The following is a 16,383-nucleotide window of genomic DNA, read 5'->3' as shown; positions in this document are numbered from 1 at the left end:
CAAACCCCAGGCAGCACAACTTGCAGCTCCGGGCGAGGTTCCTTCCCTCCGTTTGAAGAGAGAAGAGAGAGAGTAAAGAGGACTTTTTTTTGCAATTTGGATATGAGCTGAGCCACAATAAAATAGGGCACCAGACAGAGACCTGAGGCCCCTATTCCAAGCCCTAGTCATGAATGACATTTCTAGACACACCCTGGGCCAGAAGGTAACTGGCAGACTTGAAATAGAAATCTAGTCCTAGTAGGATTCATTACCTGCTGACTAAAGGGAGCTTGGGCCCTGAATAATCAGCAGTAGGGGCCAGGCAGTACTTAGCACAGGCCTTAGGTGAGACTCAGAGCCATGCTGGCTTCAGGTGTGAGCCAGCACATCCACAGCTGTGGTGGCTATGAGGAGAGAACCTGTTAGAGGAAAGGAGAGGGAAGAGTAGAGGGGATTTTGTATTGAGTCTTGGGTGCCATCTCAGCCCCAGTGTAGTAGAGCACCAAGTGGGCTCCTGGGGTCCACCATTCCAGGCCTTGGCTCTTGGATGGCATTTATGGACCTGCTCTCAATGAGCTCACTGCCCTGTATGGAGAGACTCAGGACTAACATCATTCACCACAGGCTGAAGAGCCCCTGGGCCTTGAATGAATACTGGCAGCTGCCAGCAGCCATACTCACTGAGTGTCTGGGACAGTGGTGGCCAACGGGGAGAGACTCCTCTGCTTGTGGGAAGGGGAGGGAAGTGTGGGAAGATCTTTGTCTTATGGCTTGGGTGCCAACTCATCTGCAGCAGAATGGAGCACAGGTAGATTCCTGAATACCCAACTCCAGATCCTGGCTCCTTGATGGCATCTATGGACTTTCCTGAAATTTTCGTGAAGTTGCCACCCTGAAGGGAAGGAGAGAAGCCTGGCTAGATTCACCACCTGCTGATTGTAGAGCCTGTAGGCCTTGAGTGAACATAGGCAGTAGCCAGGCAGTGGTCACCATAGGCTCTGAGATCCAGGGCTGTGTTGGCTTAGGTCTGACCCAGCACAATCCCAGTGGTGGTGAGCACAGGAATGCTTATGTAACACATGCCCAGCTCCAAGCAGCTCAATACAGACAGAGAGACTCTGTTTGTTTGGGGAAAAGTAAGGGAGAAGAAAAAGAATCTCTTCCTAGTAGTCAAGGGAATTCTCCCAGATCTAACCTAGGAAAACCAAGAACATCTCTTCTAGTCTGCAAGAGTCACAATATTACGGAGCTTGGGGTGTCCCCTAATGCAGATATGGCTGCAATGACCAAAGACTTAGATTATAACACCTATGTGCCTTTGAATATTTGGAAAGCCTTCCCAAGAAGGATGGCTACAAATAAGCCCAGATTCCAAACACTACAATAAACACCAAACTTTTCAATCTCAAGACATTAACAAATACCCACAAAGGCAAAACCATGCAGGAAAATATTACCTTAACAAATGAAGTAAATAAGGCACTAGTGACCAGTCCTACAAAGACAGAGATATGTGACCTTTCACAGAAAGAATTCAAAATAGCTGTGTTAAGGAAGCTCAATAAAATTCAAGATAACATAGAGAAGATATTCAGAACCCTGTAAGATAAATTTAACAGAGATCAAAATAATTGAAAAGAATAAAGCAGAAATTCTGGAGCTGAAAATGCAACTGACATACCGAAGAATGCATCAGAGTCTCTTAACAGCAGAATTGACAAGCAAAAGAAATAATTAGAGAGCTTAAAGACAGGCTATTTGAAAACGTACAGTCAGAGGACACAGAAGAAAAGAGAACAAAGAAGAATGAAACATGCCTTCAAGGTCTAGAAAATACCCTCAAAAGAACAAATCTGAGTAATTGGCCTTAAAGAGAAAGTACAGAGATAGGGGTGGAAGGTTTATTCAAAAAGAAAATAACAGAAATTTCCAAACCTAGAGAAAGATATCAATATTCAAGTACAAGAAGGGTATAGAACACCTAGTTAATTTAACCCAAATAAGACTATCTCAAGACATGTAATAATCAAACTTCTAAAAGTAAAGAATAAAGAAAGGATACTAAAAGCAGAAAGACGAATGAAAGAAATAACATACGAAGAGGCTTCAATATGTTTGGCAGCCGACTTCTCAGTGGAAACCTTACAGGCCAGGAGAGAGTGGCATGAGACATTTAAAGTGCTGAAGGGAAACAAACAAACAAAAAAGCTTTTATCCTGGGATAGTATAACCAGCCAAAAATTCCCTCAAACATGAAAGAGAAATAAAGACTTTCCAAGACAAACCAAAGCTGAGGGATATTGTTAACACCAGACCTGTCCTACAAGAAATGTTACAGGGAGTTCTTCAACCTGAAGAAAAAGGACATTAATGAGCAATAAGAAATTATCTGAAGTTATACAACTTTCTGGTGATAGTAAGTACATGGAAAAACACAATATTAGAACACTGTAATGATAGTGTATAAACTACTCATACTTTGAGTAGAAAGACTAAAAAATGAACATATCAAAAATAATAACTATAACTTTTCAAGACATAGTATATATAATAAGATAAATAGAAACAACAAAAAGTTAAAAAGCAGGGGAATAAACTTAAAGTGTAGAGAGTTTTTAATAGTTTTCTCTTTGTTTATGCAATCAGTGTTGTCTTCGGTTTAAAACAATAGATTATAAGACGTTATTTGCAAGCCTCATGGTAAATTCAAATCCAAAACCACAACAGATATACAAAAAATTAAAAACAATAAATTAAAACACAGAACCCGAGAAAATCACCCTCAGTAACAGGAACAGGAAGGAATGAAAGAAGGAAAACCACAAAACAACCAGAAAACAAATAAGAAAATGGCAGAAGTAAGTCCTTAATAGTAATATGGAATGTAAATGAACTAAATCCCCCAAGCAGAAGACATAGAGTGGTTGAATATTTTTTTAAATAATCCAATAATCTGTTGCCTATAAGAAACATACCTCACCTATAAAGACACACATAGCCTGAAAATAAAGGGATGGAAAAATATATTTCATGCAAATGGAAACTAGAAAAGAACAGGAAAGCTATACTTAAATCAGACAAAATATATTTCAAGAAAAAAATTATAAAAAGAGACAAGGTCATGATATACTGATAAAGGGGTCAATTCAGCAAGAGGATATAACAATTTGCAAATATATGTGCACCCAACACTGGAGCACCCAGATATATATCAAATATTATTAGAGCTAAAGAGAGAGATAGACTCTAATACAATAATAGCTGGAGACTTCAACATCCCACTTTCAGCATTGGACAGAGCTTCCAGACAGAAAATCAACAAAGAAACATTGGATTTAATCTGTACAATAGACCAAATAGACCTAGTAGATATTTACAGAACGTGTCATCCAACAGCTGCAGAATACACATTCTTCTCCTCACAACATGGATCATTCTCAAGGATAGCCCATATGTAAGACCACAAAACAGGCCTTACTGTATTCAAAAAATTAAAAGTATTTCAAGTAATTCCTCTTACCACAACGGAATAAAACTAGAAATCAATAAGAGGAATTTTGGAAAATGCAAACACATGAAAATTAAACAATATGTACTGAATAGGTAGTGGGTTAATGAAGAAAATAAGAAGGAAATTAAAAAATTTCTTGAAACAAATGATAATGGAAAGGTAACATACCAAAACATATGGGATATAGCAAAAGCTGTTCTAAGGAGAAAGTTAATGGCAGTAAGCACTTACATCAAAAAAGTAGAAAAAAACTTCAAGTAAACAACATAACAAAGAATATTAATAAACTAGAAAAGCAGGAGCAAAACTAACTCAGAATTAGTAGAAGAAAAGAAATAAAAAAGCTCAGAGCATGAATAAAGGAAACTGAAATAAAAATATAAACAATCAACAAAAGGAAAAGTGGCTTTTTTTGAAAAGATAAATAAAATCATCAAACCTTTAGAAACACAGAAAGAGAGAAGTCCCAAATAAATAAAATCAGAGATGAAAAAGGAGACATTACAACCAATACTGCAGAAATTCAAAGGATTATTAGAGGCTACTACGAGCAACTATATGCCAATAAAGTGGAAACTGTAGAAAAAAGGGATACATTCCTAGACAATGCAACCTCTTAGAATTGAACAATGAAGACATCTAAAACCTGAACAGATCAACAGCAAGAACTGAGATTGAAGCCAGAAAATAAAGTCTCCTAGCAAAGAAAATCCCAGTACCTGAAGGCTTATTTAGCAAAATTTACCAAACTTTTCAAGAAGTAATACCAATCTTACTCAAACTAGTCTGAAAAATAGAGGATGAGGGAATATTTCCAAATCCATTCTATGAGGCCAGTATCACCCTGACACAAAAACCAAACAAAGTCAGAAAGAAAGAAAGAAAGAAAGAAAGAAAGAAAGAAAGAAAGAAAGAAAGAAAGAAAGAGAGAGAGAGAGAGAGAGAGAGAGAGAAAGAAAGGAAAGAAAGAAAGAAAGAAAGAAAGAAAGAAAGAAAGAAAGAAAGAAAGATTCTACTGTGCAGAATCCCTGATGAACATTGATGCAAAAATTCTCATCAAAATACTAGCAAACCGAGTTCAAGAACACATTAAAAACATCATTCATTATGACCAAGCAGGATTTATCCCAGGCATTCAAAGATGAGTCAACATATGCAAATCCATCAACGTGATACATCATATCAACAGAATGAAAGACAATAACTGTATTATCATTTTAATTGATTCTAAGACAACATTTGATATAATTCAGCATCCCCTCATGATGAAAACCTCAGAAAATCTGGTACAGAAAGAACATACCTCAGCAAATAAAAGCCATATACAACAGACCCACAGCTAATATTACATTGAATGACAAAGATGGAAAGCATTTCCTCTATGATCTGGAACACAAGGATGCCCACTTTCCACTGTTATTCAACATAGTACTAGAAGTGCTAGCTGGAGCAATCAGGCAAGTGAAAAGAATAAAGGACATCCAAACTGGAAAAGAAAAGTCACATTATCCTTGTTTGCAGATGACATGACCTTATATTTGAAAAAACTAAAGACACCACCAAAAAGCTGTTAGAACTGTTAAACAAATTCAGTAAACTTGCAGGACACAAACTCAAATTACAAAAAACAGTAGCAATTTTACATGTCGACAGTGAACAATCTGAAAAAGAAGTCAAGAAAATAATCCCATCTATAATCACTACAAATAAAATAAAATATGTAGGAATAAACTTAACCAAAGAAATGAAAGATCTCTACAATGAAAACAGTAAAATACTCGATAAAAGAAGCTGATGAGGACACACAGAAAATGGAAAGATATTCCATATTCATGAATTGGATCAATATTGTTAAAGTGTCCATATTACCTAAAGCAATCTACAGATTCAGTGCAATTGTTATTGAAATACCAATGACATTCTTCACAAAAATAGGAAAATAATCTTAAAATTTATGTAGAATGATAAAATACTCAGAGGAGCCAAAGCTATCCTGAGCAAAAAGAACAAAACTGGAGGAATCACATTACTTGATTTCAAATTACAGAGCTACAGTAACCAAAACAGCATGGTACTGGCATAAAAACAGAAACATAGACCAATGGAGTAGAATAAATCTATACATGCACAGTGAATTCATTTTCAACAAGAGTGTCAAGAACATACATTGGAGAAAGGAGAGTCTCTTCAATAAACGGTGTTGAGAAAACAAGATATCCATATGCAGAAGAATGAAACTAGACTTCTATCTCTCACCACATACAAAAATCAAGTAAAAATGGATTCACAACTTAAATCTAAGACCCCAAACTATGCAACTACTAAAAGAAAGCATTGGAGAAGCTCTCCAGGACATTGGAGGGCAAAGAGTTCTTGAATAATACCCCAAAAACACAGGCAATCAAAGCAAAAGTGGGCAAATGGGATCATATCAAATTAAGAAGCTTCTGCACAACAGTGGAAACAATCAACAGAGAGAAAAGACAACCCACAAAATGGGAGAAAATATTTGCAAACTACCTGTCTGACAAGGGAATAATAACCAGAATATATAAGGAGCTCAAACAACTCTACAAGAAAAAAAAATTTAATAATCCAATTTAAAAATGGGCAAAATATCTTAATAGATATTTATCAAAAGACATACAAATGGAAAACAGGTATATGAAAAGGTACTCAACAATATTAACCATCAAAGTGAAAATCAAAACTATGAGATATCATCTCACCCCAGTTAAAATTGCTTTTATCCAAGAGACATGCAATGACAAATGCTGGAGAGGCTGTGGAGAAAAGGGAATCCTTGAACACTGTTGGTGGGAATGCAAATTAGTACAACCACTCTGAAGAACAGTTGGGAGGCTCCTCAAAAAACTAAAAATAGAACTACTACATGATCCAGCAATCCTATTCCTAGGTGTATTCTCAAAGAAAGGAAACCAGTATATCGAAGAGACAGTCTCTGAAAACCCAAAGTGAGTCCATTAGAGAAGTCATACATTGGGCAGAAATGGCTAGGTCTTTTCTTAGGCAATGACCGAGGTCTGCTCTGCAGAGTGTGAACTTGGCTTCAAAGCTGAAGCATACCCAGGCCTGAATAAGTTAAAGCCAGGTATTGCCATATAACCATAGTTCTAATAGTTGGGCAATGTGTATGCAGAATGTTCCTTTTTTTGTTTGTTTGTTTTTTTTGAGACGGTCTCACTCATTCACCCAGGCTGGAGTGCAGTGGCATGATCTCAGCTCACGGCAACCTCCTCCTCCTGGGTTCAAGTGATTCTCCTACCTCAGCCTCCCCAGTAGCTGGGATTACAGGCCTGTGCCACCACCCCTGGCTAATTTTTGTATTTTTAGTAGAGATGGAGTTTTTTCACGTTGGCCAGGCTGGTCTCAAACTCCTAGCCTCAAGTGATCTGCCAGCCTCAGCCTCCCAAAGTGTTGGGATCATAGGCGTGAGCCACTGCACCCTGCTTGTTTTGTCTTACAGTAGGTTTTGAATGGTACATGTCCATGTCTGTCACATGTGACATTATTCTCCCATCTTTTGGCTATAAGTTTCATTACATAGAGATTTTTGTTTTATTCACTGGCTTATGACATGTGTCTTCAAGAAAGTCAAGTATGAGTAGGAGCTAAATAAATATTTGTTGAATGAATGAATGAAATCTGTCTCATTTCTGTGTCCATCTCTCACTTTTTCCCAAATATTGGCAGGGATCAAGAATGTAGTTTATTGGATACCTTCTGTCCCCGAAATGTATATGGCCTATCTCATAGTATTTTGGTAAGGATCGTATTGAATAAAGTACATAAGTTGATATCAAAATTTTCATAGCAATGCACAAATGTTCAAAATCAATAGTACCAAATACTATTGCCAATTTAAAATTACTATTTCTGTCCTTTCCTTTTGTTTTTCTATTAATTATTGCTTTTAATTCACATTTTCCAGTTGCAAGGGTATCTATTCTTTCTTTCCATTTTATTCTCTGCCATACAATCTAACACATCTTACTCATTTATTGTTACTTCCAAATAAAATAGTGACAGTACTACATGAAGAGAGATAGATGAAATTCAAATTGGAAATTATTTTTCTAAGACAGCTTATATAAAACATTTTGTTGTATGAAAACTTTGAAACCAGAAACTACAGTGTAATGTGGACATTGTAAATTTGTCACTGATAGTGAAAATGAACTCACTATCTTGCACTCAACACACATCCCACTAACTGATCTTCTGTGCATTCTAAGAGGCATCAATTCATTGGATTCAGCCTTGACTGCATCACATCTACTGAACTGGGTGGTCTTTCAGGGCAGCCTCAGCTACCTTGGCCATAACCCCTCTGATCTGATTTCACTGTGTATGTCTTCCTTTTGAGTTACCTTAGACCTTTTCAGTTAACTCCTCCCATGCCTCAACTCCTTCCTAAATAGCTCCCATTCACATTACTTAAATATATTTAGAAACCCTAGTAAAGCATTACATACAAGGTAGCAATTGCAGCCAACTTTTTTGGAGTACTTTGTCTGTGTCTAATCCTGTGTTAATTCTTTTCATATATTATCACATTTGGTTCTCACAACAGTACTGTGAGATAGGTATATAATTATTATCCTCTTAATTTTATAAAACACAGAAAAGGAAATGAAAAGAAATAGCAATTTCCCCAGATTACACAGCTACCAGGTAGGAGAGTGAATATATGAACAGAGGTAAAATGGCCTAAAGGTTTACCTTCTTAATTGGATTGCTCGACTGCCGGGTTAGTTATTATTGGTATTTCCTCAAATACAGCATAATTATGTAACCTGTTGCGAAATATTTAATATCTATTAATTATTAAATAAGAAACAATTCAGCCTGACATTCAAACTTGTCTGCAGTAGTACAAACTCATTCTTCCAATTTCATCTTCTGTTCACTCCTCTCTCACGTTTTTTCTTAGCCGCCAAAGTATTCAACTAGTTTTCTCGCCCCATCCCCTATATATAAATGTATTTGTAACTTTTCCCAGCTCTATATTCTTATGCTGGTTAAATTTCACCCATACTTCAAAGAATACATTTTAAAAACAAAGTCCTCTCAATTCTCTATCCAAGGTGCTCCTTGAGAGATGAACTTGTATTATAATGCATTGTACGTACTGCCGTATAATATGGATATTCAAGTTCTATTTTACAACATAAACTGTGTCCTTCTTTGAGAGGTGGGTGTGTTACCATCTGAGTCTTAATCCTCACCACTTTCAGCAGAGTGACTTTTATATAATATGTCCAATAAATGATTCTGAATCGAAAGAAACCAAAACCAACCTGGTAGAAATTTTCCTTGTGGCCAAGAAGAAAAAGATACACTGAGAATGAAGTCATAAATGATTACAATAGTTTCCATATCTACAAAGGATATGTCCCAAGACCCCCAAGTTAATACCAAATCACAAATAGTACCAAAACCTATAAATACTATGATTTTTCTCTACATAGCTACCTATGGTTAAGTTTAATTTATAAATTAGGCACATTAAGAGATTAACAATAACTTATAATAAAATAGAACATGTATAACAATAACTGTAATAAAAATATGAATGTGGTCCCTCTCAAAATATCTTATTGTTTGTAATATTTTCAGACTCTGGTTGATCATGGGTAAATGAAATCAGGAAAAGTAAAACCACATATAACAGGGGAACTGCTGTGCTCTGTTTACAGCATTCTCTTTTGGAATGAAATTTTCACTCAGTTTGCTATAGATGCAAATATTGTTTTCTACTCAAATGTGTTTTGTTTTTTAATTCTAATTCTAAAAAGCTCCTTTTGCAATAGAAGTGAAGGAATTTTAGGAATGGTGCATTCTATATTGGCACAATACTCTTTGTATTTTTAGTACCAACTTCGGATATTACTTAACTCTACGAAGGAAAAAAAAATGCTGGCACCACATGAAAATCACATCTGCTGTCACAACTATTTTCATAGGTCCCTTTCTTTCTCCAAAATGGCAATAGAAAAGCTGTGCACAGAACAGAAGCCTGAAATGTGGGAGCCTGCCCAGGCGCCCCATTGTCCTTTCTGTCGTATTATAAATGAAACAAAAAGACAGCACAGGCAGTTGGCTACAGGTCTGACTGCCAACAGTAATAAATAAAATGTTTAAAGTTATGTCTTTTTCAAACGGGAATGTCTTGATACTCCACAAAAATAAACATATTAGTCCTAACATACAGCGAATTCATATAAAGTAGCAGCAAGTTTCCTGATAGAGGCGATCAATTCAATTCAGTTCTTAAATAGTAAGTCCTAGAAAATATGTGGAAAGTCACGGTGTAAGAGGAGAACTGCCTTTGCTTCCAAAATTTACCCAGGGGTAGTTCAATTTTTATTTAAATCTTAGCACTGGAGGCTTAGAAGGACAATGTGCTGTAGCGGAAAAAACAGGTTTTGAAACCTGACCTGATAAAAATACTGATTCTGGCATTTCATAATTGGAAGATGGTTTCATGTTACTTAATTTCTCTAATATTTCTTTTTTTAATTTATAAAATGAAGAAAATATTAACCTTTTTTGTATATACATAGTAGCTGTTAAAGATAGTCATTATGTCTGAAACATAGGTGTCCCACAAACAATAGCTAATTCTATTATTATTATCCCTGTATGTGAATAATGGCAAAAGGCATCAACATTCTGAATCGTATCCTATGTAAAGGAAACAAAGACTGCAGGACCTCATTAGAAATTTCCTTCGAGTTGAAAAGAGTCAAGTCACCTTCTCTCCTCTGGTCCTCAGTCGTTCATTCTAGAGGAATCATCTCCCCAATACAAAAATTAAAATAAGAAAACAAATAACCACAAAAAAACCACCCAAATGGGAGATGAATAAAAACTCTGGAAAGAGTTCAATACTTTTCTCCTAGCTACTTCTAATTTCCAGTTCTTTGAGATAATTGCCTATTAGTATTCATCCCATTAAGCAGCCAAAGTGTTTATAACAGAGGAGAATGACAACTGCTTTACCAGTCCTAATTTTAAACTGGGATAAAGATTACTACCTGACTATACTTATTAGCTTTTATTTTTAACAAATTACCCTGTAACATTAATTAATTCATTTTTCATTTTTTCTTCAACTGACATAACCAAATGTAGTTTACATGCCAGATGATACGATGTATATAGATTTGGATTTTGACTTTAAGAAGCCAAAAACTTAGTATTTAAAACAAGAGAAAAAAAGCAGTTACTGGTCCAGAGCTGTTTAGACTTCTGTAAAACAATAAAGAAAATTTTTAAAGTATTTTTTTTCTGGATATATTAGCACATATCCTAACACATATGCTAACATATCATATATTGTATGTAAACACATGATCCTTCACTTGTGATAGATAACTGGAATTCATGAGCTAAAACAAAGCTTCTAATTTATATTTCACTTTTATCCATCAAAAAATGATGTGGAGAGCATAGAGAAGATTGTTGAAAGAGAATAGAAACATAATATAAATGAAGATATAGCAAGGGTAATTTAGCTTATCTGTATAAATTCAAATCACTGAGCCCAGTTGAAGTACGTAGAAGGAGTTGGGAGAATTTGCAAAAGTGCTGCAAAACCAGTGTTGACAACATTTGTGAAACTAGGAAGAATAAGACAATCAGTGAAAAATGAAAGACTAGCAAATGTTTCTCCATGTAAGAAACTAAAGTTTCTAGCATAGACGGTTCAATAGATAATTTGTACATCTTAGAAATAAAAACATTGACCATTAGCAAGTGGCATATATTTACACAGAAGAGAAGCCAATTCACCCTTTAAAAAATCCTAAGTTAAACAGTGCATCACAATTGGATTAAGTTGTATACCAAAATCTCTCTTCATGGTTTTCAAGAAGAATGCAGAGATGTATCAAGAAGTCATTGTAAAACTTTCTGGTTTTAAATGTAGATTGATATAAGTTAGCAGGAACATTTCCAAATGGGTTTAATAAATTTTGTCTTTAGTCTTACTTGCCCAGAATTTTAATGGCATAAATTTGATAGGTGTAGCTAATAAGTTCTGTATCAGAATCAGAATATAAAACTATTTAAACATGGTAGATTAACTCTAACATAATGGAAGTAACTGGATAACTGTAAATTAATAGATGTTCATGTCATACAACAAACTATACTAGGATCAAGTGGTAAGACTGCCTTAAAAATGGCATGTATGTGTATATTTTAAGGTCAAACTTAAAGTTTGAAAGAATATTATATATAATTAAGTTAAAAATCCCACTGAATACAAATATTTCCTCCTGATTAATGATTAACTAGCTTTAATCTTAAGAGAGGGAATCACATTCTCCCTTTGCAAATATTTTTTGTGTTCCTTCAATCTAAAGTTGTGCAGGGAAGTAAAATTGATCATAGCACCATAAAATACATTATTTGCATATATATTGCAAATAATATATAATTGCATATATATGCAAATAATATATATTGCATATAATATTTGCATATTATATATAACTAATCACTTTTTACATCACTTACACATATAAAATTTTCTCCAACCAACCAAACGTTTTCAGCATAATGTAACCTCTGTATCAAACTAAGTTTCTTGTTGTCAAATGGTATATGCATAGATCATAGTGTGGAATACAGTGGAAATTGACGCAAAATTCAATTCAAATATTTCAAAAGAGGTAGGATTTTATACAAAAACAATGATGTGATGAAGAATGTTTGAATTGCATGCAAAATCTTTACAAATGAGCATCTGGCTATTTAAGCCAATCAATTTTGAAGTTAAATCATAAAATATTTATGACATGCTGAACATTTCCAAAGAGAACAACTTGAATATCAAAGAAATAAAAGAGGAACCTGTAGTAATTGATGGAGTGTACTACTATCTCAAGAATGATTTTCTTTATAATAATATTGTCGAACAGGAATTGAAAAATATCATGTTATGCTATTATAAAACTTTGTTAAAAAATTGCATACACACCCAAAATCTGTCAAAACTTGATGCATTCTAAGTTAACTCATATTTTCTACAATTCAAAATTTGTTGACTATCATATAGACTTTCCACTTTGAAAATACTAGTTTTAAGACAAGTTTATAAAAACAATTTTCAAACCTTTCTATGGAATTTTATTTCTTTTTGTAGAGTAGAATCATTTCAATTGCCTTTTTCTGACACTAGTTATGCTTAGCAGGCATCTCATCTGCTACCTGTTGAGAAACTTTATTCTGTATTTCAACAGATTAGACTTTATACTTTACTACCTATTCATTCATTAATGTATTCAAAAATATTTGTTGTGTTCCTTAAACCTGCTAAGATTTGTTGTAAAAGCCAAGGGACTGCAGTGAATAAAACAGATAAAAATCTATCTTTCAGGCATTTTATATTGAGTCAACATCTTAACCAATTCTCTTTCCATCTTCCGTCCATCCTGTCTTTTGTAATGGTACTTAACAAATCACCTCTGCAACATAATAGCCTTTCAAATTTTTGAAGTTGTCATGTTCTACTTTAATCCTCTCTTCTTCCTGTTAGAAATACCCAGGTCCTTTCATTGTATTCTGATTGACACAGTTTTGAAACATATCACCAACTGAGGCACCGTGATTTCTAAATTACTCCCTCATCCTTTTTAACTTTCTTTAGTGCCTTCCTATAATTTGTCAGAGAAGTTTTTAGAATGTAGCTTACCAAATGTAAATTTGATAGATATACAATATGCAAATATAGGATAGAGAATAAATACTCTATCCCTTGTCCAGGGCATTATATATCCATCTGTACAGATAATAACGTGTCTGTAATATTTTCAGGGACATATCAAAGCTTAGAGCCAAATTAAGCTTTTCTTCATCTAACTCACCCATAGTGATTTAGCTGCAAATATTTCAGTCAGATATTTTCAATCCTATATTTATTTGAGTTGAGGTTTTTCTTTTTCTTTTTTTTTTTTTTTTCCTTTTTTGGCACTGCAGGGCATCATATTTATCTCTGTTAAATTTCATTTTGTTGATTTTGGCCTATTGTTTTAGGCTTTTAGGGGGATGTTTAGTGTTGATTCTGTCCCAACAATATTTGTAATATTCCCTAGGTTTGTGTCACCTACAAATTTAATAAGCACACTTTTTTCCCACTAATTAAAAAATAAAAAATAATAAACCAGAGACAAGCATAGATCCCTGTAGTAACCTGCTGGAGATTGACACTGGCTACTTCTTTACATGAGGGTGTTAAACCAGGTCTCAATTTCCCTTTCTCTGTTATTATCCAATTTACGTTCCACAAGATTACAACCAACCCATCATGAATACAGTTATAATGCTTTTCTGAAACAGGAATATACCATGGTTACAGTATCCCCAGTAATTTCCCCCAAAAGAATTGTGTAGCTCCTTCCTCTGTGCATTTATTGCATGTTTTATGTACCTACAATATATTACCTACTAGAATTATGTTAGAGTCATTTGTTTCCACAGCAGGTCAAGCAATGGTACTCAATATTTATTAGTTGAACGAGTAAATGAGTGGTAGGTTAGCTTATGCTAACTTCTCAGTCAAGGACCCTAACAGAAAATGACACAAAGCTGTTGTCCTGTAAATGCTGAATGACTTCTGGCAACACCTAAGGTCTTAGCTAACAAGATTCAGTATATTAAGATCATTGCATGGCTATAAGTTGTACAGATGACAGGAATTGCTACTTGCATTTAGAGCTGGAGAAACTAGAGTAACTAAAAATTATGACTGCTCCAGGGTCTATGACAAAGCAACTTAAAATAGGACTCACACGTCCTACTTTACAGAAATGTTCCACTCAAATCAGGGACAAATCTGTCAAATCAGAGAAGCTGCTTGGGGGTATATCATGTTTTGCCAATGCAAATTAATGTAGCAGTTTAGAATTAATGTTTTCTTTTATTACATGATTTCTTTTGTTTGTTAATGTTTTATAACAGTGTAAGCAACTATTTTTATTATTAAGTATTTACCATGCATCAGCTATGTAGTATCTATTCTGCTATGTATTTGTAGCACTGTGGAGACTCTAGGAAATATACTAAATATAGGATATTTAATTTGCTATACATAATGCATATATGTATAGAAAAGTTCTCCTCACTCGTGGTGACTCACCATCTATTTGAGGAAGGCACATGCATGAGAAAATTAAATAGCTAAATATGCATGATTAAGTTCAACCAGTAGTTTGATAATGTAACAATAATGGTAATTTGGATTTTATTTAATTAATGATACAACACACATTTAATGAATGGTAACTATGTATTTGCTACGAAATTTCCCCACTGGGAAAAACAGTTATGGATCCTACACTTTATTAACCTATAGTTTAATATTAGAAACATTGCAGAAGTTTAGAGAAGAGAGATTTAGTTAGGCTATTTGGTCAGTAGAAGATTCATGAGGACATTGTACCTTGAATGCTGTTATCTTGACAGCTGAATAGTCACAGAATAGAGCAAAGCTGAATTCCAGGCTAGAGAATAATTGACTTTGCCTATGAAAAAGAACGGTAATGACAAAAATAGATGCTACTTCTTAAGAGATGCTGTTTTTTTTTTCTTTCTCTTCTTTTGTTCAATCCTTCATATATATCAAACACAGAAAGATAACGATACAGATTTCAACTGGAAGAGACCAAGGCTTGCACTGGGGAAAGATGAGCACAAAACTGTAACCTGATTAAATGAGTTTTAGCATCCTTTGAAAAAGTAAAATATTTACTGCTCTATTACACAAAGAATTTATTTTAAGTTCAAAACCTAAATATCTCATTTATACTCTCTGAATCTAAATGTCAAACTGGTGTGAAGACTAAAATAAAACACGACTTAAAGAGAGAGAACTCTCATACCACAAGCTTCCAACTTACCTAGAAAAGGCCACTGCAGTGCATTTTCAATGCTGCCTGTCATTCAATTTGCAAATTACAGGTCTGCTACCGAACATTGATGATCCATCACTGCCATGACAACAAAAGCGCTGCCTTGGCGACACTCACTGCTGGTGAGAGGCTGACACACTGCTTATAAATACTGTAGTTGGGAGATTAGAGTAAATTTCACAGAAAACAACATAATGAATCATGGTATGGAAATGCAATTGAAGTATGTCAATTTATTTGTATGCAAATGCATTCCAAAATTTTGTGTAGTCAAATGTACCTACTTAATTACAAGTTCAAAACAAATGCTCAAATGTACATATATAAACTTTAAATTTATACTTGATAACTTAATTGATGGTATACCACTTCTCATTTTTGATCAGAATTCAGAAAAATAAATATGAAATATAAAAACCTGTCAAATTAAACATACCTTGGGCAACTTTTTAATAAATGCCAGTTTTACTATATAAAAAAATCAGAAACATTGCTCAACAATTATTATTTTGTCATATTCACAGACATGAATTAGAATTTCATGTGACATTATTTACATTTATATATTTTAAATTATATTCCATTCTGTATGAGAAAATAAGAGAGTTTTGCAACTACATGTTAGAAAAAAGAAAAATTAATATGTGCTTGTTTGGAAAATATAAAATAAGACTAAAACACATTTATCTTATTTTAGTTTTGGGTTACATAAGAAAAAAGTAACATATGAATAGAATATTAAGTACGCAACACCCAGTTTGTTAAATTATCTGAAAATTTCCAATTGTCAACATGTTGAACATCTTAAAATTTCTGTGGAGTGAGTACTCATTGGATGAGTATTGGAAATGCTGACCCTGCAATGACTCAGCTTAGGAACAATAATGGTTTTGAGGTATCACTCTGGGAGTGGGCGGTTTTATTTTTTATACTGCTCATTGAGATTCTATT

The 16,383-nt window shown here is 34.3% G+C and overlaps 1 long non-coding RNA gene across 1 annotated transcript in view; it reads right to left on the bottom strand.

Annotated features, from left to right (window-relative positions):
- Nucleotides 1-15,501, bottom strand: part of LINC02338 (long intergenic non-protein coding RNA 2338) — a 43,657-nt gene extending 28,156 nt beyond the window's left edge. The window contains exon 1 of the long non-coding RNA NR_120416.1: nt 15,421-15,501. This is a non-coding gene — a long non-coding RNA (long intergenic non-protein coding RNA 2338). The remainder of the gene's footprint in view (nt 1-15,420) is intronic.
- Nucleotides 15,502-16,383: the final 882 nt, after the last annotated feature.

The sequence above is a fragment of the Homo sapiens genome, chromosome 13, assembly GCF_000001405.40.
Source record: "Homo sapiens chromosome 13, GRCh38.p14 Primary Assembly".
NCBI classification, from domain to species: Eukaryota; Metazoa; Chordata; class Mammalia; order Primates; family Hominidae; genus Homo; species Homo sapiens.
This window is presented reverse-complemented; position numbering and strand designations above follow the sequence as displayed.